The following is a 26,609-nucleotide window of genomic DNA, read 5'->3' as shown; positions in this document are numbered from 1 at the left end:
GCTCTCCTAATGTATTTTCCACCGTCTCTTTGGGGATTTTGCCTTCAAACTGCACTGCCAAACAATAACTGTGTAAGAGGAAAGATTATACTCTGAATTGTAAAATGTTTACCAACATATTCATTATTTGTAATTCATTATTTTTTAAGCACCACGAGTAATTTTCTATGAGGAAATAACCACTTGAGGACACTAAATGAAGTCCTACCCTCTCATTGTGATGGCTCCTAAGAAGCCTTTATTTAATACATGCACGGGGATTCATCCAGTATCACTAGTGCACTGTGTTTCCCAAAAAGGTTGTTGTCACTGTACCAGACTGCAGAGAATGAGGACTGACTTTACAAGGATGGGCTGGATTATGTGTTGCTTGAGTTTGGAAGTAGGTCAACTATAGATCTATTTTGTGAAGCTCTGAATAATGATAATATGAATAATCGCTACTCAATCAAAACATAAATTCAAGGAGTCAGAGAATTGAAAAGATTCCTTAGATTGGTGATTGTCAACTTCTCTAAACATTTGAGAATTCCGTAGAGGTATCTCTGGCTTCTCAGTTTTCTACTTCAAATGCTTCTTTTAAAGTGTTTTAAACACCTTTTAAAAGGGTTAAAGAAAACCACATATATTAAAATACACCAAATACGCTGAGGAATACCAATGTCCTACTTTATGCTTTGCGAGTAACTTACTTTTATGCAACTTCTAAATAATAGCCTTCCTCCTGTCTCAGGTTAATTAAAGTGTATCCTGAGTCTGCAAAGATTCCCTATGTATCTGGATTTTGAGTAAAAGTTCTGTGGATGTGAAAGGTTGCTGTTCTTCACTGACCTTTTGTGACTTCAGGCCTGCGAATGTCCATTTACTTAAAGTTGTGTAAGTAAGTTCAAGTCTGCAGAACAAGTACAGCATGCTCTATTAAATACAAGTAAAACACAGGCATATTGGCTTAGCACAGCTTCCCATTGTGAAATCCCAGTTGACTGTGCAATAACAAGAGAAAGTAGAATGTTTCATCAGAGTAGAAATACTTTATGCAAAATTTTGTATTTATATTTAATGCGTTTTTACTATTACATTTTAATAAATTTTTTCTCTCTCAGGGTAAAACAATTACTTAAGCCAGAAATTGATTATTAATTAAACACAGAATATTTGAAATTAATATGTGATAATGTGAGTGGAAAATTTGATGATGCAAGATCAAAAATCACCAAGATAAAACTGCAAATCATATTATATTAGCATACTGAAAATAGTATATAAAAGCGCACATGTGCAAAAATAATGGTCACATACTCACTTGTAAATAAATAACTAAAACCATAATGTAGCAAGTATGAATTCACTCCTAAATACTGCAGGAATTAAGAACCATCTTTCTTTTTTCTAAATTTTATGTATTCGACTCCAAGCCATGATTGGTGATGTTTTCCTATTTCCTCTCACTCTTTTGACTACATTCTGATGCCCTAAGTGCCAATCTCAATCATGGTCTGGGCAGTGACGCTGAAGAGGAGGATGGCGCCATGTCCAAGTTCATCTGCAAGCAGCCTTGACCACAGGGGGCCACTAGATTCTGCCCCATAGAATTTGAAGCTTCATGATAGTGTCCCAGGCATGTTCTTGCCAGTCCTAGAAATCTTGCTGCCTCACAGACTACTATCTGGGAATGGGACACAAATTCCACCATCATGCCAGCCCCAGCCCTCCCCACTTCCTTAGCCCTGGAGTCTCTCATCCTCTAAAAAAATCAAGCTTTAGAATCCACAAGAGCCACAACTTGCAAAAACAAAAAGTGTTCATTCTCTCCTGGAGCAAAACAGACCCAGAGAGCAAGACACAAAATCTTCCAAGCTATTTCCAGAACCCAAATCTTTCTTGCTATCTTCTTGTTAGCATGTGTCTGGCAAGGGGGCTGGAAGGGCACAGTGAGCCCTGGATGTAGATTAGGCGTCTCTCATTAGCTTTCAGATGCTTATGGGAGAAATGCAGGTTACTCTGTGACAATAGTAAAATTGTTATCATAGCTCAGTTACAGAATTTTTGTAAAATAACCTTGTAGTCATTTTTGCAAAATAATCCTGTAACTATTTTTTTTTTTTTTTTTTTTTTTTTGAGACAGAGTCTTACTTTTCGCCCAGGCTGGAGTGCAGTGGCGCGATCTCGACTCACTGAAAGCTCCGCCTCCTGGGTTCACGCCATTCTCCTGCCTCAGCCTCCCAAGTAGCTGGGATCACAGGCGTCCGCCACCGCGCCCAGCTAATTTTTTGTATTTTTAGTAGAGACGGGGTTTCACCGTGTTAACCAGGATGGTCTCGATCTCCCGACCTCGTGATCCGCCTGCCTCGGCCTCCCAAAGTGCTGGGATTACAGGCGTGAGCCACCGCGCCCGGCCTCCTGTAACTATTTTTATCAAGCAAGTAATAATGTGATATTTAGACGAAATAGTAATACCCTAAAAATAAGCATTTCAGCTTCATTTAGTATAAATTAAAACATTAAATACTGTCAAAAATTCAAAAGACAATAATATAAGCTTATAGCTTTATTTAATGTTACTGCTTTTCAATTTTTAAATATTTTCATATAGTTAAAAAGTGTGCATATATTCTTTCATACATGAAAATATATGCAAATTGAAAGGCAGATTACATAGAACATATAAACATCTATTTACACATATATACCTATACACATATAAATATGTATGCATATATATGTAATTTGCTTTGTTGTTTACCAAATGTAAGTGTGGGGTCAGTGTTTTCTTCATACATTGTGCCTTTTGAACATTACACACTGTCTCTTTTTGTCTTCTCTCTCCTTTTGATTTTCTTTATATTTACTTGCAATGTTCTGCTCTCATTTTTTTATATCTTGTGACTAATGTAAGGCTGTGTTTTGTCAACAAATATAATCATTTCTGCTTTTCAGAGAATTCAGGCTCTTCTCACCCAAGATAACAACTGAAGTACTGATTTTATTCCATTCACCTTTCTTTACATTTTCTATTTATTTTACTTTGCTTTCTGAACTTTTTCTTCTTGTTTCCTTTTGACACTAAGGTATGCTTTCTAATTCCTGTAGCGATTATCTTCAAAATGCCAGCAGTCATTATCAAGCACACATTGCTGTATTACAGGAAAGCAAGTTAGCATTTATTTCCCCTTGTAAATAAAATAAATACCCTTCCCCCATAATTCATATTTTTAAAAAATTGAGTGTTAGATATTCTAATTTACTTTTAAAAATTTATTTTATTGAGAAATAATTTACATTTAGTAAAATTCACAAATCTTAAGTGTATAGTTACAAGACTTTTACCTATGTATGGCAACCTGGTAACACTATCCAGGTTGAGATACAGAATATTTTCAGCATCCCTGAAGGTTCCCTCAGGCCGCTCCTCAGTCAGAAGCCTCCAGACTCTAATGTAGCCAGTACTCTGACTATGCTTGAACTATTTGTAAAAGGAATAATATAGTATGTGTTCTTTTGTACCTGGCTTCTTTTATGCATCAAAATGTTTTTGAGTTTATGTAAACACCTGTCAATAGGGCCTATTTTTCTCTTATTGACTGTATTTTATTATATGAGTAAAAATCAATTTATTTATTCATCTCCCACTGATGGATATCTGGGTTGTTTCTAGTTTGGAGCTATTATGAATCACACTGTTAGTAATATTTGTGTATGTGGCTTAGGTAGACCCATCCACTCATTTTTTCTTGGGCATACTTGGGAGTAGAATTGCTGGGTCATAGAGTAGGTGCATGTTTAACTTGATTAAAACTGTCAAACAATTTTCCAAAGTAGTTTTACCAATTTGCAATCTGATTAACAGTATATGAGAGTTTCCATGGCTCTTAATTCATTCCAAAACTTGATTAATTTTTGTTTAATTTTAGGTCTTTTTAATTTTTTTGAGATAGTAATATTTCAGTGTGGTTTTAATTGGAATTTTCCTGATGACTAATAATGATGAACACCTTTTCATGCTCTTATTAGCTATTCATATATGTTATTTTGTGACACACATATTTATGTTTTTTGCCTTTTTAAAAATCAGTGAGTTTTGGCCAGGCGCAGTGGCTCACACCTGTAATCCCAGCACTTTGGGAGGCCGAGGCGGGCAGATCATGAGGTCAGGAGATCGAGACCATCCTGGCTAACACGGTGAAACCCCGTCTCTACTAAAAATACAAAAAATTAGCTGGCCATGGTGGTGGACACCTGTAGTCCCAGCTACTCGGGAGGCTGAGGCAGGAGAATGGCATGAACCCGGGAGGTGGAGCTTGCAGTGAGCCGAGATCTCACCACTGCACTCCAGCCTGGGTGACAGAGCGAGACACCATCTCAAAAAAAAAAAAAAAAAAAAATAGTGAGTTTTTTCATATTGGTAATTTAAAATGGTATTCATAGTACTTATATCTCTAAGTATTGGCAAAGAAGATACAGAAATAATTTATTTAAAATCAATAATAAAAAGATTACAATATAAATAGACAAAATATTTGAATGTGTAATTTACATAAATAAAAAAGTACATAGCTAACAAACATTAAAAAATGTCCTACATAAAAATTTACGAAATGCAAGTTAAGACAGTAACGGACAGTCAATAACTTTCATCGATTGTGCAAAAAGAAAAGTATGACATAACTGAAGGCTGGTAAAGAGGAAACTGAGAACCTTTATAAATCATAAGTGGTCGTGCAAATGGGAACTATTGCCAAAAGACTCATCTGACAATATCTAAAAAAATGTGAAGGTGCTTATCACTAGTATTTAACAACTTTGCTTCATGGTACAGGTATCCTAGGAGACATGTACAAAAGTGTTCATTGCAGCCTTATTGTAATAGCAACGATTTGGAAAAACATGAGTAACCAACAATAAAGAAATGTTTGTAAAATTGTTCTAGAGCAATTAATGTAAATGAGCTATATAGATATTTTTTCATATGGATAGACCATGAGAACATAATTTTGAATTTAAAATAAGTGATAAATGATGCATAGAGTTCTTTTCTTAAAATGATAAATTATACATGCAGTATTTTTAAAAGTAAGAAATAATATATTTATAAGTGGTACTCTTAATCTGGTGTCTGGACCAATGACATCAGCATTTCCTGGAAACTTGTTAGAAATGTAAATTTAGGGGCCAGGCCAGACCTACTGAATCAGAATCTCTTGAGGTAGGACCCAGAGATCTGCTTTAACAAGCCTTGCAGTAAATTCTAACGCTTTTTAAAGCTTGAGAACTGTATAATATAGTTCTACATGTTACATAGATATATATTTTCTTAGAATATATTATAGATAGCTTTAAGAATAAAAAGAAATTTCCTAACAGTGGTTTCTTTTGGAGTTGGAGCTGAACAGAAGGCTTCAAGTGTCTGTAACACCATGTCTATAAATATATAAATAAATCTGAAACAAGAAGGAGAAAATACCACTATTTCTAAATTCTTAGTGATGAGTATGTGGTCTTTGTTAAAGGATCTCTGAATCCTTTTAAACTTTTTCATTTCAAAAAAAAAACAAAAGAGCTACAGAGAACATGATGTAAGTGGTTCTTGAAGAGTGTAGGGGTTTGATGAGGAAACCAAAATATCTTAGTTCTTTCTCAAGTTTTCATGTTTAAGTGAAAAATATCTTCACTTAAACTTTCTTAAATATCTTTAAGATATTTCTTAAAATATCTTCACTTTAAAGAGCTTGCAAGACAAGCTCTTTAAAAACAAAACGACAGTACCTATGATTTTGTAATAATTAAGAATTGTTAAATATATTGCATCAAACTTTTCAAGATTTAGCTCAAAACAACATACAGAAATAAATCAGAAAGCAAGATATTGGGATGTAACAGGCATCTATAATCTCAACTTTAGCTCTCTAATTTTTATCAGAACAGTCTTACTGATATCATTGATTCTATCTTTAAAGAGTTAACATAAGAAAATGCACTTATTTGAACAAAATGTTCCTTTTGTTGTTTATGTATTAGGATTATATAAGATCACACATAAATAAGGCATCTCGTGTGTTTTATAAATGATTTGCTTTGTAGGAGAATATTTTATTTCATTTCCATATTCCTGACAGGGCTGCCCTCCAACTCCTCAGATATAGATACTATGTTATTCAATACCTCCAGAGACACTGTTTTCCCAGCTGCTCTTTGTAAGAATTTTTAAAGTCTCACAATTCAGGTCCTAGGATGTCTTGCCTAATGTTACTTTCTGCCACATGATAGTTCTGGAAAGAGAACAGCCACTTCCTGTCATTTATAAGATCTTCCCCCAAATAACCAAGTTCATGATGAAGCACATCTCACTTTTCAGTCCTGAGGGCTAAGCCAGCCCAGGCAGCCAACCCTTGGCTCGTCTTTCATTCAACAGTGACCTTTTCTGTGTAGCACTAAAGAAGTATAAAAACAGCCTTGACCACAAAGGCTTACATTTTAGTTAAGACTATAAGAGTTATTCACTTGTAGCATCGTGAAGAAAAACAACATCATAAAATAACATTCTATGTGGTAACCATAAAGTGTTAAATCATCTGGGATGGTACTGAATGCAGAAGGCATTTTGAAAAGAGAAACCTGGGAGGGCATGGTGGAATTATTGGCAGGAAAGTTTCATGAAAAAAAAATGAGGCTGAAAAGTTAGACAGCAGGTTCAAGGAAAACTGTCAACAAACAGGAATAGTATGGGAAGTGAGGGACAGTGCAGTTGAGAGAATGAAGGCAGCTAAAGTCAACAAGGACCACTGTGAATAGTAAAGATAGTTACAATGTGGGAGAGAAAGCAGACTGCAATTATGCAGTACAGGGAAATTTGAAAGGTACCTAGATTTGATGTACAGAAAACCATAGATTCCCTGATGAATAAAGGATTAATTCATAAGTGTACTCAACCCATATCACAAACACTGCAGTGAAAATAAGGTTCTTCCCAGTTTGTAGTCATCATCGTGAACTAGCATTAACATTTTATTGCCTGGTCTTTGTTCCATGATAACTCTGTTTCCTTCTCATATTTGTAAATTATAAAACTAATAATATATACTAAATGTAGGGAGTTTTAAAAAATGACCCAAAATATAAAAAAAGTAGTTGATATTATGGAGTGCCAGTGGAAGTGCTTTCCACTATTAGCACCATGTGATCCTTGCAACAACCCCATTACCTTTATTTTACAAAGAAGAAAATGGTACACAGAGATATTAAATAACCAGCCCAAGGTCAGCACATAGTGCTATCAGGTCTTAACCCCATGAATTGAAGAGCCAGCGCCCACATGCTTTACCCCTCTGCAGGGCACTACTGCCTCTTTTACCTGCTTGTCTATCTTACTTAGAATCTTATCTGCTATCTTGCCTACTATCTCTCTTATAAAAACAAGTTTCATTTCTGCATTAGAGTTTATAACATGTATGTACCATCAATACTGTAAATATTCCTTAACTGTTAAATATTGTGTGTGTTTGAAAATTTTTGCTGTTGTAAATAATGCAACATTGAACATATTTGCACAGAAATCTTTACAAACATGTTCTGTTAACTCCTTAAAATCAGTTCTTAAAAGTAGGATGGATGGCTAAGGCAGATATAGGAAATATTTCAGGTCATTTTATTCTCAAAATATTTTCAAAACCTTTCCCATATTTGAAAATAGGACACCAAATATGTAGGTAAGAAGCAGACTTCATTACATCTTTTTGAACTCTAAGAATCATAATTTTTTAAAAAAATTAACTCATCATTTTGAGATCATTGTAGATTCACATAGTTTTTGGAGTTAATACAGATAAGTTCCGCATACATTTTACCGTATGTATCGCACTGGTGGTAACATCTTGGAAAATTTGGGTATAATATCAAAACCATGATATTGACACTAATACAGTGGAGATATAGAATATTAACATCACCACAAAGATTCCTTATGTTGCCTTTCTATAGCTACACCCACTTTCCTCCTGTCCCCATCTCATCCTTAATTTCAGGCAACCAGTAGTCTATTCATTTCTATAATTTTGTCATTTCAAGAATGTTACATAAAGGGAATCATACAGTATGCAAATTTGAGTGCTTCCTTTCTTCACCGAGCATAATTCTTTGGAGATTTATCTAGTTTGTTGCATATCAATATGGCTGCTCCTTTGTATTGCTGAGTAATAATACATGATAATAATGTACCACAGTTTATTTAACCATTCACTTCCTGAAACACATCAGAGTTGTTTTTAGTTTGGGACTGTAGTGAATAAAACTACCATGAACATTTGTATTCCTGTTTTTGTGTCAACATCATTTTCATTTCTCTGAGATAAATGTTCAAGAGTGCAATTTCTGGGTCACATGGCTGTTACAAATTTATTTTTATGAGAAACTGCCCATCTGTTTTCCAGAGTGGCTGTACCATTTCACATTCTCATAACAATTTCTGAGTAATCTAGTTTCTCCTCATCCTTGCTAGTTAGCATTTGATGCTGTCACTATTTTTTTTATTATAGTTATTTTGATAGGTGTATATACTGATATAGTGGTTTTACTGAATCATGTGTTTTTTTAAAAATCATTGCTAATTTAATCCAATAAAGTGATTTTTCATTTTAGTTGGGGGATCTTTTTTAGGCTCAATTTATTTTTTATTTTTTTTTTTTACTATTGTGTTTCTTCTATAAATTGTACTTCATGGGCTTTTTTTCTGTTACTTATAAGTTGTTCCATTCAGGCTGCTATAATAAAATGTCATCGACCAGTATACACAAGAGAAATTGGGTTTTACTTGAATTTATTTCTCAGAGTTCTGGAGGCTTGCATCTGAGATCTGGTGAAGGCCTTCTGGATTGCAGACTGCCAACTTCTTGTTGAATCCTCACGTGGAGGTAAGACAGCTAGCTAGCTACCTGGCTTCTGATAAGGGCACTAATCCCATTCGTGAAAGGTTCACCTTCATGACCTAATTATCATCCCAAGTCCCCACCTCCTAATACTATTTTATTGAGAACTAAGACCTCAACATATGAATTTTGGGGGGACACAAACATTTAGTTCATAAAGTCAGTAATTCAGCAATTTCAAAAATATATTTCATATACTATGTATTAATTATATTAATATTATGTTTTGTAATTCCTTTCTTTTCCTGATTTTGTTAGAATTACTTGAGTAATTAGATATTTTAACTTTCTTATAAAGCTTTGTTCTTAAGCCTTGAATGGCTATTATAATCCAATACATGCTAAGTCTGCTTCAATTCATGATCAGCTCAGTTGGTTGAATCAAATGCAACTGAAGGCCTTTTAAATTCTGAATACTGTCCTTCCTCCATAGTATACATAAATTTAGTCTTTTTCTATTAGTACTATCCTTGATGCATTATTCACCTACAGTAGCACATTATTTGCTACGAACCGATTATCAATTCTCTGTGAAGCCAGCCATTTTTTTCCTGGTTAGTATTTTATAATCCCCAGCCCATCTTGCTCTTGAAATACAAGTTCTATACCTGGAAATGCAGTCATTTAATTCTAAGATGTGGAAATGTATTTCTGAAGAGAATAGGATATATATATATAGCAGAAAGACTGATCAGCTTCAGAATTTTATGCTTGTGCATGTTCATGTTCATTCCAGCTCAGTCAGGGACTTGCTCAGTGACCTTACAAAAATTTCTCAACCCCTTGATTTTTTCATTTCTTCTTCTGTGAACAGAGATCAAACCATTTTCTGCCCCCTTGGTCTGATCTAAGAAACTTCACTGATGAGATAAAGGCAGTGGAAAGGTTAAGACAAAAGACAGCATTCAGCCGGGAACAGATTCACTTTACTTATCCACCCAGGGAATGATTGTGTTTGCAGTAACCCCTAATATTGATTATCAGATAGGGGTGCATATTGACGTCTGCAGCAGAAAGCACAGGGTTGTTGCTCTAAGATGCTCATTCAAGAACCACGGAAAGCATTAACAGCCAGTCACAGTAACTGAAAGCACCACAAAGTTCAACCTCAGAAAGCTGTAACGAAGCCAGGGATTATTCTGAAGGGCTGTTGTTTACAGGCACATCAGCCTGCCCCACAGAGCAAGCCGGATGAAAGGGGGAAAACCCTCTGGGGCAGAGGATACGGAACCTGGGCTGAATCTATTGCTTGGAGTCTGAGAAAGGAAAACCTTGGGCAGCCCAGATCCTAGTTCCCACTGCAAGCAGCAAACACCATTGGATCTTCTGGCATGGTAAGATTCCGTGAAACAGCCATCTCTCTCTGAAACACATTTCAGCAGGATTTACCTGGGGAAGGTAAGTCCTTCTTTCTCAGCTGGAGGAAACCACTTCTCAGAGGATGCCAAACAAGGGCAGATTCCTCACTCCCCCAGACTCTTGATATCTGGAGGTTTATCTAGTCCAGGGGCTGGCAAACAGAACCACAAGCCAACAGTGGCCTGCTGGATGTTTCTGAATGGTTTGTGAGCTATGGACGGTTTTCATATTTTTAAATAGCTTAACAAAACAACAAAAGATGAACAATATTCTGTGACACATGAAAGCTATAAAATTTAAATTTTCTTGTCCATAAATAATGTCTTATTGGAACATAGCCATGCATGTTCATTTACATATTCTCTATGAGACTGCATTTGTGCTACAACAGGAGAGCTGAGTGATTGTAACAGAGACCACATGGCCTGACTTCTTACTTACTTACTTACTTACTTACTGTCTGGCTCCTCACAGAAAGAACTGGCTGACCGTCTTCCCACTTGATCATTGTATAGATCCAATAGAGCACCCTCTTGCATTGTGCCTCACACCAGAATGACATCACTTCATAAGTCAACCTGGAATGTTGACAGTCAGCAACAATTGTCAAAACTATTCTTATTTTTGACTCAAATTTTCAACTTATTGGGACTAATTATTTAAGCTCTGTTGGAAGGACCTAGAATAAATCTAACCACTTTCTTGCATGAAAGCAAAATGAAATAAGAAGAGGAAAATTCTTCCACTGCCAACACTACACACACGCAGTGCTGTCAACGGCTCAGCATCATTGACCCGAGCCTCCACATCACTGAGCCTACAGAGCAACCTAGTCCATTACTCACTGCTAACTGTCCTTCGTATTCCTAGTAAGCCTTCTTAAGTGGGCTCCCAGGGGTTCATTTAGGATATATACAGTATTTAAGACCTGGGTACTGCAGAGACTCACCAAGTCCCACCAGACATGCTCTTTGCCATGGCTGCTCAAAAGGGCCAAAGCTCTGGTCCTGGAGAAGTGATCCGCAGTTCCCAAATGCCAATCCCAGGTGAGCCCATAAGGAGGCAGGACTGGCTGGTTCTCTAGCCTCTCAGTTCTCTCAATGGCATATCTTGAGTTTCTGAATTCCTGCCAGGTAATCTTCTATCCCCAGCACTTTGATTGCTTAGCCTCTAATCCTGTCTAAAGAAAGCCAGGAAAAGTATTTTAAGTGATAGGGGAATCTCAGCTATTATCTCATCTCAAAGAGAGCTCTGTGGACCAGCAGCCTCAGTATCACCTGGGAGCTTGATAGAATGGCAAAATCTCAGGCCCTTTCAGGCCTTCTGAGTTAGAATCTGCATTTTCTCAAGATGGTTAAGTGATTCATATGCACGTTAATGTTGGAAAAGTACGGAAGTAATCTATTGCCATTCTATAAATTGGGGGACTGCTCAAATCTGGGACTTTGTTCTGATTTCCACTCTTCTTAGCAGCATCTTCAAGATCCAGGAAGAATTCCACGGCCACACCTTCTAGCAGGAAGTTACCTAGATGGCTGCCTCGTTCTTATTCTCCCTTTGTTTAAAACCAACACTCCTGGTAATCAAAGCCTGTTTCATAACCAACCAGCTTATGTCTAATATTCATTAGCCACTCAACTAAAATATACATAGAAATTGCTAAATACATTTCTACATTTATAAGTCCTTCAAGGAGCAAACGGCTAAACAAACTGTGGTACATTCATCATAGAACACCACTAGGAATAAAAAGGAACACTATTCATACACACAACAACTTGGATAAACCTCAAGAAAATTATGCTGAATGAAAATTACCAGTATGAAAGAAATATATGCTGCATGATTCCATGTATATAGAATTCCTGAAATGACACAGTTAGAGTGACAGTGAACAGGTTAGTGGTTAACAGGGGTTAGCCCTGAGAGGAGAAGGTGGGCATGGCTGTAAAGGGGCAGCATGCGGGAGCCCCATGGTGATAAAAGTTCTGCTGTATTTTGATGATGGTGGGGGTCACATAGCTACACTTGGGATAAAATTGCATAAAGATACACACACATGCACACACTATTGCATGTGCAACTGGTGAAATCCGAATAAGCTTTGTGTATTGTGCCAATATTGATTTCCTGAGTTTGATAATAGTACTGCAGTTATGCAAGATGTTTACATTGCAGGAGGATGGGTAAAGGGTTCACAGGGCCTCCCTTTGATTTCTTTGTAACTTCCTGTGAACTTGCAATTGTTTCAAAACAAAAAGTTAAAAAAAATTAAAACATAGATCCAGTAACCTGTGGGTAAAGAAATAAGCAAATCAATAAACAGAACATTATCCACAGCAGGGCTGGGAGAGGTAGTTTCCTTTCCATGAAGAATGTGTTTACTCTTTTTTTAAATTACCAATTGCTACTAAGATTCCACTTGTTTTAATTCTATCCTCAATTTAGCTGGTTCTAATGAGAAATTCTAGTCTTGTTGGCATTTGTGGAATGAAAAGATATTTTTAGGCTTGTAATAAACATACCTAAGATATAGGTATATAATAAATGAATACTCAAAAATCTAGAAATATTTATTAGAAAAAAATTTTTGTCTTTCTATAAAGCTACAAGATTACCTCATGTCTCACACATAATACTTTTATCTAAGATATCTATTTGGGGCTGAAAAAATTAAAAATGCATTTGTGGGTCTTTGAGGTCAACATTTTAATGTATAGGCCTTGCTCCCACTTCCTGCACCTAGATGCTTTCTTTTACAACCATCTTAAGTAAAAAATTACAATGGACTATGCATTTTAACATAACAACTTTTGCCCTTGTACATGTAATTGCTTGAATTTTACTTTTAATTCTCCCTCTCTCTAGCTATAATTATGAGAATAATTAGATGTCAGAGTTCAGAGCTTCTCAAATTTAAGAAGAGTGGGACAGTCAAAATGAAGTTTTTTCTCTCTTTAAATATCAATTACTGACACAGCTACAACTAACATTTTCATAGTGTTTTGAAACTTATAAGACACTTTCACTTACAAAGAACCACTTAGGAGTCAATTCAGACAAAATGGAAAGCAGTTTTAAAAGCAACTAGGTAGGCCCAGTGAGGTGGCTCACGCCTGTAATCCCAGCACTTTGGGAGGCCAAGGCGGGCGGATCACAAGGTCAGGAATTCGAGACCAGCCTGGCCAACTTGGTAAAACACTGTCTCTACTAAAAATACAAAAATTAGCCGGGTGTGGTGGCGTAGCAGGTGCCTGTAATCCCAGCTACTCGGGAGGCTGAGGCAGAATTACTTGAACCCTGGAGGTGGAGGTTGCAGTGAGCCGAAATCACGCCACTGCACTTCAGCCTGGGTGACAGAGCAAGACTCTGTCTCGAAAAAAAAAAAAGGAATTAAACTGGAAAGAGAAAATTTAATAGACATTTTTCTACCAATAAGCAAAGGCCTATGTAAGTGCAATTAAAGAAAACTGGGACCTCCCAAAGTCTTTCACTCCTATCTTTTTGGTCTCTGGACCATGGTCCCCATCACTCTCCATGAGAACTTCCATGAATCCTGAGCTTGTAGGGAGGAAACAAAACTAAAGGTATGAACCAGGATGCGAACATACCAAACACTGGTAAAAGATAACAGCTTGAAGTTGGCTGAGCCAGGGTCCACACACTGGCGGACAGCCTCCCTCTCATTGGTTGTAAAACCTACGTGTAGACCAACTCGTTGGTTCTTTGTGACTTCCAGTTCCCTTTTCACTGGAAACACAGAAAAGCATGGGTAAATGACCTTTGCTTTGGCTAACCTGTAGTGTAACAACAGAAAGGCTATGGGTTCAAGATCCCCACATGCCTAGAGTCAAATCCTACTTGGTCTAATATGTGTGCCTCAAACTGCCTAAGTCTACAGTTAGCTCATTGTCTCTAAAATGGCATTGAGACCGTTTTTCCTGAAGAATTGTGCTGATGAATTGAATAATCAAATCATATACATAAAAGACTTAGTAGTGGGTCTGATACAATGTAAGTACTCCTCAAACAGTTTTCTACTATTTCCATGATCAAGAAGGCTGAATATGCTCCAAGCCCTTCAGCAGCTTACCAAGTTGGGGAAATGTCTAGTCTCTAGCTTCTCCCTTAGACTTGTTCATCTCTCTCCACCCTCTCCAGGACACTTAGAAATGTTCCCTTAAGATTTTACAAAGAAGAGTAAAGGCTCTACATTTCAAGAAAATTCTTTCAGTCTTGTAAAAATCCTTGAGGAAAGAAAATTCAGACGGCATGGTTAAATGATTAGAGGAGGGAGTAGAAAAAAAAAACAGAGATGAAAAGCAAATTAACATTTGAATAAAGTAAATAAAATATTCTGACCCATTGGGAAACATGTAATTTGTATATAAAAGAAGTTGTAAATATCAATTGGCTTAACATTTCCATTTATCAGAAAGTCTCATTGAGCCATGGCCCAGTCCAATGACTTTACCTATAAGAAATTCTTTGATCTTTAGCCTCTCGTAGCTGCTTATCTCATGGGAAAGTGCAGGTGAAAAGGAATATAGTAGATGTATATCACTTGAGACACCCAGTATCCATCTCCCCTTCTTCTGGAGCTTATATTTACATTTCTTTTGAAGAAAAGTCTCTTCCCCAAAGTCAGTCTATATGGTTTGAGTGAAATCAACCTCACCTCTGAACTCCAGAGATGACCTAGGACTCAGACCAGTGCAATCAGAGTATTTTACTTCCCCAGCCAAGGTGCTCGGTTCAAGAATTTGGACCTAGGACCCCAAAGAGTCCAATGATTCAGGCTCAAATTTGTGAAGATTGAACTCTGTTTCCTCCAGAGTGACCAAATTAGTACAATATAAATCCTTATCTGTTGGAGGCCAAATCACTACTGTGTGGAATAGCCTTTCTGAGATTAAATCTTATATGGAGAAAAATTTCTTACTGTCAAGGGATGAAAAGACACAGATTCCTGAAAATGCTGTTACTACAGCTGAGTCTTACAGCACTTAAGGTCAGACACACCCTGGAAGTTTAAATTATAAGAACAAATAAGTTCCCCATTTTGTTGACACCACATGAACTATATATTCTGTCATCTGCAACCAAAGAGTTCTCAATAGCATCAGTGTTTAATAGGATGGAAATGACTTCTCATGTTCACAGTAGGAAGATTGATAGCAACTACAGGAAAGGGGGAGAGGGAGAGTAGAATGGCCTGAGAGGCTGGAGCCTGTTTCTCCTGGCCAGGCAACTGACCAGAAAAACTCAAGGGAGAGTCTAGGCGTGGTTGCCTTACCTTGAATGGAGAGCTGCAGGGGAGCTAACAGTAGATAAGCTGTCACCTTTCTGATTTCCTCAAAGGATGCTTGAAATGAAATTATACTGATAGACCGAGTGCTCATTGAAAGCAAACAGGGCTGAGTGTTCCCATGGGCTCTAGAATACACATACATATTGCATCCTTGATAAGTATGTGCTTTGGGAAAGCAACTCTCACCCAAGGCTGCAGGGGACACCAAATGGGTTGAGCCCAGAGCCAAACTATAAACTAAATACAAAAGTTCAAAAGGACAAGTAGTAATGGTCACTAAATTTAAATGGACAAGAAGCAGAAAAGGCAAAGGTGAGCATAAAGGCAGAAAAGGCAAAGGTGAGCATAAAGACAGAAAAGCAAGAAGCAGGGTGTGACATGTCGATAAGGAATGATCTGAGGCATTATCTGGGACAGACATTGTTTTCTGCTGTTATTTTTAATGAACCATGCAGGATATAGGTAAGCTGACCAAGCTTAAAAGGTCAGAAGCGGGGTGAACTGAAGAGATGGACATAGAAAGGAATAAGATACAATTATTTTCCTCAATCACTTATGGCACAGTGCAGAAGTGAGATGCATTCACTGGTGATAAAGTGACAAGTAGAATACGGGAAGAGCCTTGCTAGAGAAATAATAAAAGCCAGAGGAAATATGGGAGAAAGAGAAACTGGCTTTTTTTCAGGGAATCTTGGAAGGCTTCATGGAGACACAAGCATTTGAACTGAATTTTCATAGGATTTCAAGCAGGGAAGGTGGAGAGGAAACATTTTGAGTGGAGGGGAAGCAAGCTCAAAGACAAGAAAGATAAGAATATGCAGAACACTGTCAGAGTTTATTCTGAATATAGAGAAAGCAAATGGTACAAGGAGGCCAGTGGACCAGTAGGAAGCTAGAGAGACCAGCTGAGACCAGTGTGGGTTTTGCCGGATGCAGAGCTTGACCTGCATGACAGATGTGGTAGGGAATAGAGGAGGGGAAGAAAGGAGGAGAAATAACAGCAAGGAGGACATGTTAGGGAAGAGGTCATGATGTTCTTGACTGGGAGTGTGAAGTGGGCTGCAGAAGTGAGCGATTCTGCAGTCAAAGGTTGCATCTGGTTGAAAGCAGGTCAGAGGGAAAAAAGTCAAAGATGGCTTTGGGACTTCCAACTAATACAACTGGGAGATGGTGATGCTTTTAAATGAATATTAGTACTAGGATATTACAGCATGGTTTAAAATATTATTTTTCCTTTTTTCAAATGATTCATGTCAAAGATATGCATTTCTGCTTATTTTTAAAATCACTTACATATGAGATTATTTATAACTTTAAAATGTTTCCCAGATTATTCTGACATATGTAGGTTGGGTTCCCTAGATACAGGGCCTCAGACGGGAATTTCAGTCCCATGACATATAATTTATTGAGAGTGCAATCGGGAGATCTCTAAGGGAGGGAAAGAAGCAGATGGGAGAAGGGAACTAGCTAAGCAGGACTGGGCTCCTCTGAAGTCCAGTCTAACCCTGATCCTCTGGGGATCCATGGAGCATGATTACGCCAGAGTTGGGCCCAATTTGAGGTAAAGGGATCAGCATCTGTATCCCTGGCTTCGTGTTGCCCTGAGGCCAAGTGGGGAATGAGCTTAGCCTCCTGGGCATGGAGCTCTCTTTAGCTTAGAAGAATTCTCTACAGAAGGGAGCAGCTGTGACCTTTTAGCTGCCAACATTCATAGCAGCTAAGTATGGGGGTACTGTCCCGGTACAAGGGATCTGGGTAAGGCACCAACAGTGCCCACCACATATGGGTCTTGATGTTAATGTTAGATAACTGCATCTTAGAGTATTTCAAAGAAAGAATGTTTTGGTGACTTGTCAAGTCTTTAATTGTCCTTTGTTTTCTCCTCTGGGGATGAGCTGAAAGAGACATTGCTCCAACTCACCAATCTAAAGGGGGCATCTCGGGCAAAGATCTTAGAGATAGCAAGAAGGCTTCCATGAGAAGTCTGAGCTCTCCATAACATCTTCCATTTCTTTCCTTTCTTTCTTTTTTTTTTTTTTTTTTTTTTTTTTTTGTTTTAGACAGAGTCTCGCTCTGTCGCTCAGGCTGGAGTGCCAGTGGCGCGATCTTGGCTCACTGCAATCTCCGCTTCCCGTGTTCAAGCGATTCTCCAGTCTCAGAACATCCTCCATTTTTAACCCCAGCTTTTCTTTATCCCACAGAGCACCATGGTGAAAATACATTATTGTATGAATTTGTGATTCATAATCTTCGTTGCCTGGTAACATATTAGCTTAACCATCTATCAATCTCAAATTGCAGGAAACACCTGAGCCCAGAAGTAGAAAGAGCACTGAATAAGAATATGGTCAGGCTTCAGGGCTGAAATTCTGAACCAACCAAGGCCATTTCTAAGGGAAAGAGCTTTTAGATAAGCTGTGTGACTGATAAGCAACTTTCAGTAAGGGTTGCGGTCATAGCTTAGTTGCTTATAACAAAGAATTAATGAAGGCAGTAGTTCTGAAGTTGATCACTTCATGAGCTTGTGAGTTTCTGTTACAAGGCCAAAGAAAATAATTCTGTCCAGAGTTGTTTGTTACACCAGAAAGTTTAAAAAATTTAAAAAATCTCAAAAGAAAAAACAAGCATGTGTGTGTGCGTGCACACACATATACAGTTATGGCAAAAGGATCAAGGACACGGGACTAGGTTGAAGGAGCTCTTGCCATCTCCATAGAGGACAATATGCACACCAAAGTATTTAAGGATGGTAATTCATGAATCTGTACCAAAAATAGCTAGACAAATCAATAAATAAACAGGAGAGAAGGAGGGCTCTTGCTTAAATAAAATGCTGATTACTGACTAGTAGATAAGGCTGATGAGCCGGAGTTGGAAAAATCATTATTTTTCAACCATTATAGCAAAGATTGGATCAGGCAAGGATCATCAAAGAATGCTAAATTAATGAAGAAATTTTGATGAGAAGGTAGATAGTTGGAAGAAATTTTGATGAGAAGATAGATAGTTGGAAGATCTCAAGTGTCTTTGACAGACTGTTTTATTAATCGAAAAGGAAACATCCTAACTATACTGTGCAGAAATTGAATAACCATTTGATGGGGAATAACTTGGACAACACTGACTGTATCATCAAAATCTATGTCACTAATGAGGGGCAGATAGACATTGTATGCCTCTGAATGTGATATCTTGACAAGGGCATTGTATCCCCCATGCAATATTCTAGATGAGAATGTACAACCTCAATCTAGTCCTGAAGGATTCGAAGGAATCCCTAAATGAGGCATATTTCATTATAAGGTGAGGGTTGTATTTAAAAATATCAATGTTATAACTGAAAACAAAGGCTAAGGAATAGTTCCAGATTAAAGAAAACTAAAGAGACATGGCAATTAAATGAAATGTGTAATCCTAGACTGAATCATATACTGGAAGGAAAGTCGTTTTATAAATGTCCTGAAATCTACAAGTGATTATGGTTATGTAAGAAAATATTCTTGGCCAGGCGTGGTGGCTCACACCTGTAATCCCAGCACTTTGGGAGGCCAAGGTGGGCAGATCACAAGGTCAGGAGGTCAAGACCATCCTGGCTAACACGGTGAAACCCAGTCTCTACTAAAAACACAAAAAATTAGCCAGGTGTGGTGGCAGGCACCTGTAGTCCCGGCTGCTCAGGAGGCTGAGGCAGGAGAATGGCGTGAACCCAGGAGGCAGAGCTTGCAGTGAGCCGAGATCACGCCACTGCACTTCAGCCTGGGCAACAGAGCAAGACTCCGTCTCAAAAAAAAGAAAATATTCTTTTCCTTAGGAAATACACACTTAAGAATCTAAAAGTAAAGAGCCATGATGTATGCAACCCACTCCCTAATGGTTTACAAAAGTTACATTTATGTGTATGTGTTTATAAACAAATAGATCAGAATGCTAGCAATAGATAAATCTGGGTGTTCATTGTGCTCTTTCTACAGCATTTTTGTATATTTTCATATTAAAAGTTATTTACACCAGTGAAAGAAAAGCCCAGGACCAGATGACTTCATTGGTGAATTCTACTAAACACTTAAAGATGAATTAATGCCAATTATTCTCAAATTCTTCAAAAAATTGAAAAAGAGACAATACTTTCAAACTCAATTTATGAGGCCACCGTCTCCTTTTACCAAAGCCAGAAAAAAATGCTATAATAAAATAAAACTAAAGGCCATAACTCTGTTGAATATGGATGCAAAAATTCTCAACAAAATATCAGTAAACCAAATCCAACAGCACATTAAAAAGATCATACCCCAAAGCCAAATCAGACTTATCCTTGTAATGCAAAGATGTTTCAACAGATGAAAATCAGTTAATGAGATATACCACATAGCAGAATAAAGGATTAAAAACACAGGATCATCTCAATAAATGTAAGAAAGCATTTGATGAAATATAACACAATTTCATTATAAAAATTCTCAACAAACTAGAAATAGAAGAAAAATATCTTAATATAATAATAACCAAAAATGAAAAGCCGACAATTCATGTCATATTCAATGGTGAAAAATTCAAAGATCAGGAGCAAGACAAGAATGCCCATGCTTATCACTTCTACTCAACAAAATACTAAAAATACTAGCCAGAGCAATTTGGCAAGAAAAAAAAAGATATCTAAATTTAAAAAGGAATAAAGTTATCTCTGTTCATAGAAGACATTATCCTATATGTAGAAATCCCTACAAATCACACACACACACACACACACACACACACACACACACACATACACACACACACACACACCCCTATCAGAACTAATTTAAAAATTTAGTAAGGTCAGAGAATACAAAATTAGCAGATTTTAGATTATACATTTCTTGAGGGCAGTGGCCATGTTTATATTCATCTGAATTTCTTACAGGATACCCAGCAGAGTACTATGGGCTTCTGTGCCCTAAATTTTGGTTAAACAATAATGACATTAATAATAGCTGTGACTTACTGAGAACTTACTAAGTTCCTGACCCCATTCTAAGTACTTATGCATATTAAAACATTTAATCCTCACAATGATTGTATGAGGTAGATTCTATTACAAGCCCCATTTTCCAGATAAGAAAACTAAGACATGACAAGGCTACATAATTTGCCAAGGTCAGGAAGTCAGTAAAGTGGCAGAGCCAAGATTAAAACCCAGACAGCTGGGCTCTAGAGCTTATTCTCTTAACCACTACACTGTACTACTTATCTTTACATCATATTAGAATCTTGAGGTCTGAAAGGTAGCACAATTTGCCAGTGTGGCAGAAAAGAGAATTTCTGCAAATAGGGAAGATTGTCACCAGAAGTCAGTGCCAAAAGGGCAGCCACTCCACCTGGTCATCTGCCTGAAGCCATGTTCTTTTATTGTACGATGTCTTTCCAGTAAGAACACACTGGTTTCTTCCAGTGTTTTCCCTGCTTCCTCCCTCAAACCAGCAACTACTCTTTTATGATCGGTTTGTCTTTGAGGCCTCCCTATCCTGGATGTCGCACCACCGAATCTATTTTTTTGTAAGATTTTTACTGTGATAATTTTGTGTAACAATTTCCTTATCCCCAAATCTCAGTGTTTTTTCTCAAATGCTTATTTTTCTTACTCTGTTCTAAAAAGTAGTCATGGTTTGGCTAATATTGACTGGGCTTACCTGGGTCAGGTGGGCTACGAGGGATTCTTAGCTGCTGATCACAGTCAAGTCTGCTCCACGTGTTTTCATCATTTTGAGGCCAAATAAACACCAAAGGTAGATCCTTCTTAAGAGAATAGAGCAAAAGAGGCCAAACTATAAGCATAAGGCCCTTGCATAGGATCCAAGTGCTAATGCTCCATTGGCCAAAGGAAGTTACATGAGCCCAAAATGGACAGGATGAGGGTACATACATATTCTGCCTGCTCTGCTGTGAGGGAAAATCATATGGTAAAGGAGCACAGAAACATATAACCATATTTTAGGAATGAGTAAAGAATTAAGAATGGTAATCCTATCTACAGATCTCTCCAATGTTCCAGAGACAGCAATACAATGGGTTCTCAATACCATCAGGGACAGGAACAGCATAATGTATGGCTTACCCCTTGGCTCCAATAGGGACTCAGCCCCAGCAGTCATTTGGAAGTGGATAGATGAGACCACATCATCAGGGATGGCCAAAGAGCATATTGATATATACTCCACATGTCTCAGAAAAGTCACATTACCCCAGTTTGAATAAGTGTGGTACCATCAACCAACAAATAGCTACTGAGATCCCAGTCTGCAACATCAACTTGGTATTATTGAGTTCAATAGAGAAAAGGTATGTCAAGGGCTACTTGACCTCTCTGGGAGGACATGACTGACATAATTCCAACATTTGTTGCGTAAACCAGCATGTGATTAAGTTCTCAACCACATAGAGGAGCTCCTGGAGAAAAGGACGGTATTTTATAAAGTGATAATTGCACAACATAAAGCACATGCACAGAAAGCCTTGGGGAGCTGAGAGTTTTGAAAGAGGACCTTGAATGTCCTATAGATAGGAAGAACAGATAGAAAATGTTAGATATGCACTTCCAGAGAGGATAACTGCATGCATCAGGAGAGATGGGGGACAATAATAGAGTAAGATATTACAGGATTGCCATTCAATAGAGTTTTAGAAACTTACATTCCAAGAGCAAGAGGGAATAAAGGAAAATAGCCTGGGCTGACAAATACCTTGGCTGCCCTGGTCTGAAATTTCTGAAATGTCTTTTTGAGTTAAAGTTCATTATTTTTTCCTACCTCAAAGCCATTTAGTTTCTGACTAAACTATGTGGAGGGAAAAAATTTTAAATGATTCAACATATGTCACATAGAACTACTGAGCCCTGCCGTTCTTTTTAAAAGACAATCCCCATGAGAGTTCTATTTTTGGTTCGAGCAGATTTTCATTTCAGCCAAAGCTAGCTGGGATGATACTTTTCCCTTCTTTTCTATTCAGCGTGGGAGCCAGTTGGGATTCTTTAAAAGGCCTGCTGTGTTGCTGAGTGTCCTAGAAGAATGTAGCATTGCAGTGGTTCCGGCTGAACCAATAAATCATGACCTGAAAACACCAGCCATTGTGCCCTCCTGTTTATCACAAACAAAAGGAAATGCAGTTCTTTTTCTTTCTTCTTTTGTGGCAATGTAGCATCAAGGGATTATAATAAGAGGACACAGAATTAAAAGCTGAAAACTAGATATTTTTCTAGCTTGAGTTACAATGTTACTTTGAGATTATAAATGTCATTACAGTCACGCCTAGTACTCGCCCAAATCTGATTGCGGAAGCTTAAGGAGACTAAACACCCTTGCCCTTTTGCTGTGGTGGAGACTTTTGACTAGTTCTAGCCAATGGACGGAGATGTGTACAACGTCAAGCTTAGCTGTGAAAAGCCCACACACATTTCTCCAGTTTTTCTTCCCTCACTTGATTGAATAGGAGCCCACTTGTTTCCAATAGTCCAGGTAATAGTTACAGCATCCTATTGACCTGGAATAACAAGTTGCTGTACAGAGGACAGTTGCCTTGTGGGGTGGGGGTGGTCTTGACAATCAGTGGACATCACATAAGCAAGAAGTATACCTTTGCTATGTTCACACATTGAAATCTCAGGATAGTTTGCTTTCACAATTTAATCTACCTACCTTGACTAATAAATGCTAAGCAAGATTTACAGGTCTTAAAATACAGTAACAAATTTAGGCTACAATAATAATGACTAGATAAAGTAGAGTCTAAAGGAAAAAAATGCTTGAGTGGCATGCATTGATCCCCCAAGCTCCACTGTGAACTTTACTCATAGGTGAATCCCTGATATGGTTTCGCTGTGTCCCCACCCGAATCTCATCCTAAATTGTAATTCTTATAATCCCCACATGTTGTGGGAGGGACCCAGTGGGAGGTAATTGAATCATGGAGTCTCATGCTGTTCTTGTCATAGTGAGTGAGTTGTCATGAGATCTGATGGCTTTATAAAGGGTTTTCACCCCTTTGCTCAGCACTTCTCCTTCCGCCACCATGAGAAGGACATGTTTGTGTCCCCTTCCACCATGATTGTACATTTCCTGAGGTTTCCCCAGCCCTGTGGAACTGTTAATAGTTTAAACCTCTTTCCTTTATAAATTACCCAGTCTTGGGCAGTGTGAGAATGGACTAATAGTGGGGCACTGCTGTAATAAAGATACACAGAAATGTGGAAGCAACTTTGGAACTAGGTAACAGGCAGAGGTTGGAACAGTTTGGAGTCCTCAGAAGAAGACAGGAAGATGTGGGAAAATTTGGAACTTCCTAGAGACTTGTTGAATAGCTTTGACCAAAATGCTGATAGTCACCTGAACAATGAAGTCCAGACTGAGGTGGTCTCAGATGGAGATGAGGAACTTGTTGGAAACTGGAATAAAGGTGATTCTTGCTATGCTTACCAAAGGGACTGGACTGGCAGCATTTTGTCCCTGCCCTAGAGATCTGTAGAACTTTGAAGTTGAGAGAGATGATTTAGGATATCTGGTGGAAGAAATTTCTAAGTGGCAAAGCATTCAAGAGGAAGCAGAGCATAAAAGTTTGGAAAGTTTGCAGCCTGACAATGCAATAGAAAATAAAAGCCCATTTTCTGAGGAGAAATTCAAGCCTGCTGCAGAAATTTACATAAGTAACAAGGAGCCAAATGTTAATCAGAGACCTTTGCAGCAGCCCCTCTCAGGTTCAGAGGCCTAGGAGGAAAAAATGATTTCCTGGGCCAAACCCAGGGCTTGCTGCTTTGTGCAGCCTTGGGACTTGGTACACTGCATCCCAGCCATGGCTCAAAGGGGCCAACGTAGAGCTCAGGCTATTGCTTCAGGGAGTGCAAGCCCCAAGCCTTGGCGGCTTATACATGGTGTTGAGCCTGTGGGTGCACAGAAGTTAAGAAATGGGGTTTGGGAACCTCCACCTATTTCAAAGGATGTCTAGACAGAAGTTTGCTGCAGAGGCAGAGCCCTCCTGGTGAACCTCTGCTAGGGCAGTGCAGAAGGGAAATGTGGGGTGTGAGCCCAGAAACAGAGTCTCCACTAGGGCACTCCCTAGTGGAGCTGTGAGAAGAGTGCCACTGTCCTCCAGACCCCATAATGGTAGATCCACCAACAGCTTGCACCATGCACCTGCAAAAGTCACAGACACTCAATGCCAGCCCAAGAAAGCATCCGGGAGGGGAAAGGTACCCTGCAAAGCCACAGGCTCAGAGCTTCCCAAGGCCATGGGAGCCCACCTCTTGCATCAGCATGACCTGGATGTAAGACATGAAGTCAAAGGAGATTATTTTGGAACTTTAAGTTTTAATAACTGCCCTATTGGATTCTGAACTTGCATGGGGCCTGCAGCCCCTTTGTTTTGGCCAATTTCCCCCACTTGAAATGGGTGTGTTTACTCAATGCCTGTACCCCCACTGTATCTAGGAAATAACTACTTGCTTTTGATTTTACAGGCTCATAGGTGGAAGGGACCTGCCTTGTCTCAGATAAGACTTTGGACTTGGACTTTTGGGTTAATACTGGAATGAATTAAGACTTTCGGGGACTGTTCGAAAGGCATGATTATACTTTGAAATGTGAGGACATGAGATTTGGGAGGGGCTGGGGGTGGAATGATATGGTTTGGCTGTGTCCCCACCCAAATCTCATTTTGAATTGTAGTTCCCATAATCCCTACATGTTGTGGGAGGGACCCAGTGGGAGGTAATTGAATCATGGGAGTGGCTACCCCCAGGCTGTTCTCATGATAGTGAGTGAGTTCTCACAAGATCTGATGGTTTTATAAGGGGCTTTTTCCCCAACGTGCGGCACTTCTTCTTGTCACCATGTGAAGAAGGACTTGTTTGCTTCCCCTTCTGCCATGACTGTAAGTTTCCTGAGGCCTCCCCAACCATGTGGAACACTGGGTCACTTAAACCTCTTTCCTTTTTAAATTACCTGGTCTTGGGCCGTTCTTTCTAGTAGCATGAGAATGGACTAATATAACCCCTCAGAATATAATTTAGAACCTAATAGTCTGCACTTTAGATACAATTCAAATATAGTTTCTTCTCACTAGATCAAAGCAGAAAGTTAGAAAGGAGGGTATTCAGTGGCACAATTGCAGCAATAAACAAAGACAGATGACAATTCAGCTTAGATGTTTCTGCTGCAGTCTTGGTCCTGAATCAGTTGAATTTACAATTTTCCATTTTTAATGTCTGATTTTCTGAAATGTCACTTAGTTTGTATGTTGAAGATGATTATTCAGTGTCTTCTCTGTGATCCAGACCACTTTGTAATACCAACCATTTACTATAGAGAATACCATGGGAAAAATATCAGAAGTGTGGCATTTTGACATGGGACCAGCGTAAGTGCAATAGCTTGAACATACATGTCTTCCTTTTTGTTGTTGTTTTGTTGTTGTTGTTGTTGTTGTTTGAGACAAAGTCTCACTCTGTTGCCCAGGCTGGAGTGCAGTGGCGCAATCTCCGCTCACTGCAAGCTCCACCTCCCAGGTTCACGCCATTCTCCTGCCTCAGCCTCCCGAGTGGCTGGGACTACAGGCGCCCACCACCATACCCAGCTAATTTTTTGTATTTTTAGTAGGGATGGTGTTTCACTGGAACATACACATCTTCTTACCACTGGTTCACATCACTGGATCTGAGCATAGTCACAAAATGCGTAAGAAGATGTAAGCCATCAAACCATCAGCTTTTTATTATCCAGAAATGGTGTGATTTACAGTAGGTACTTCATTATATATACAACTATACCCCTGTTTAGAATAACACACTTCAATCATATTTGCCACAATCTCTTTGGAGACTTTTATCTATGGCTAAGTCTATTTGTAATTGGTAACACCAGGTTTATAGTATTACAGACCTTTGATTAGCATCTTCTCCTCACTCTCAACTACTATTTATGAAAAGTAAAATTGAAAGGTGGTGCCTGAAGGAGATTTGATGAAGGCTAGCAGATCATTTTCTGTTATAACCA

The sequence above is a fragment of the Homo sapiens genome, chromosome 20, assembly GCF_000001405.40.
Source record: "Homo sapiens chromosome 20, GRCh38.p14 Primary Assembly".
Taxonomy (NCBI): domain Eukaryota; kingdom Metazoa; phylum Chordata; class Mammalia; order Primates; family Hominidae; genus Homo; species Homo sapiens.
Note: the sequence above shows the minus strand (reverse complement) of the source record.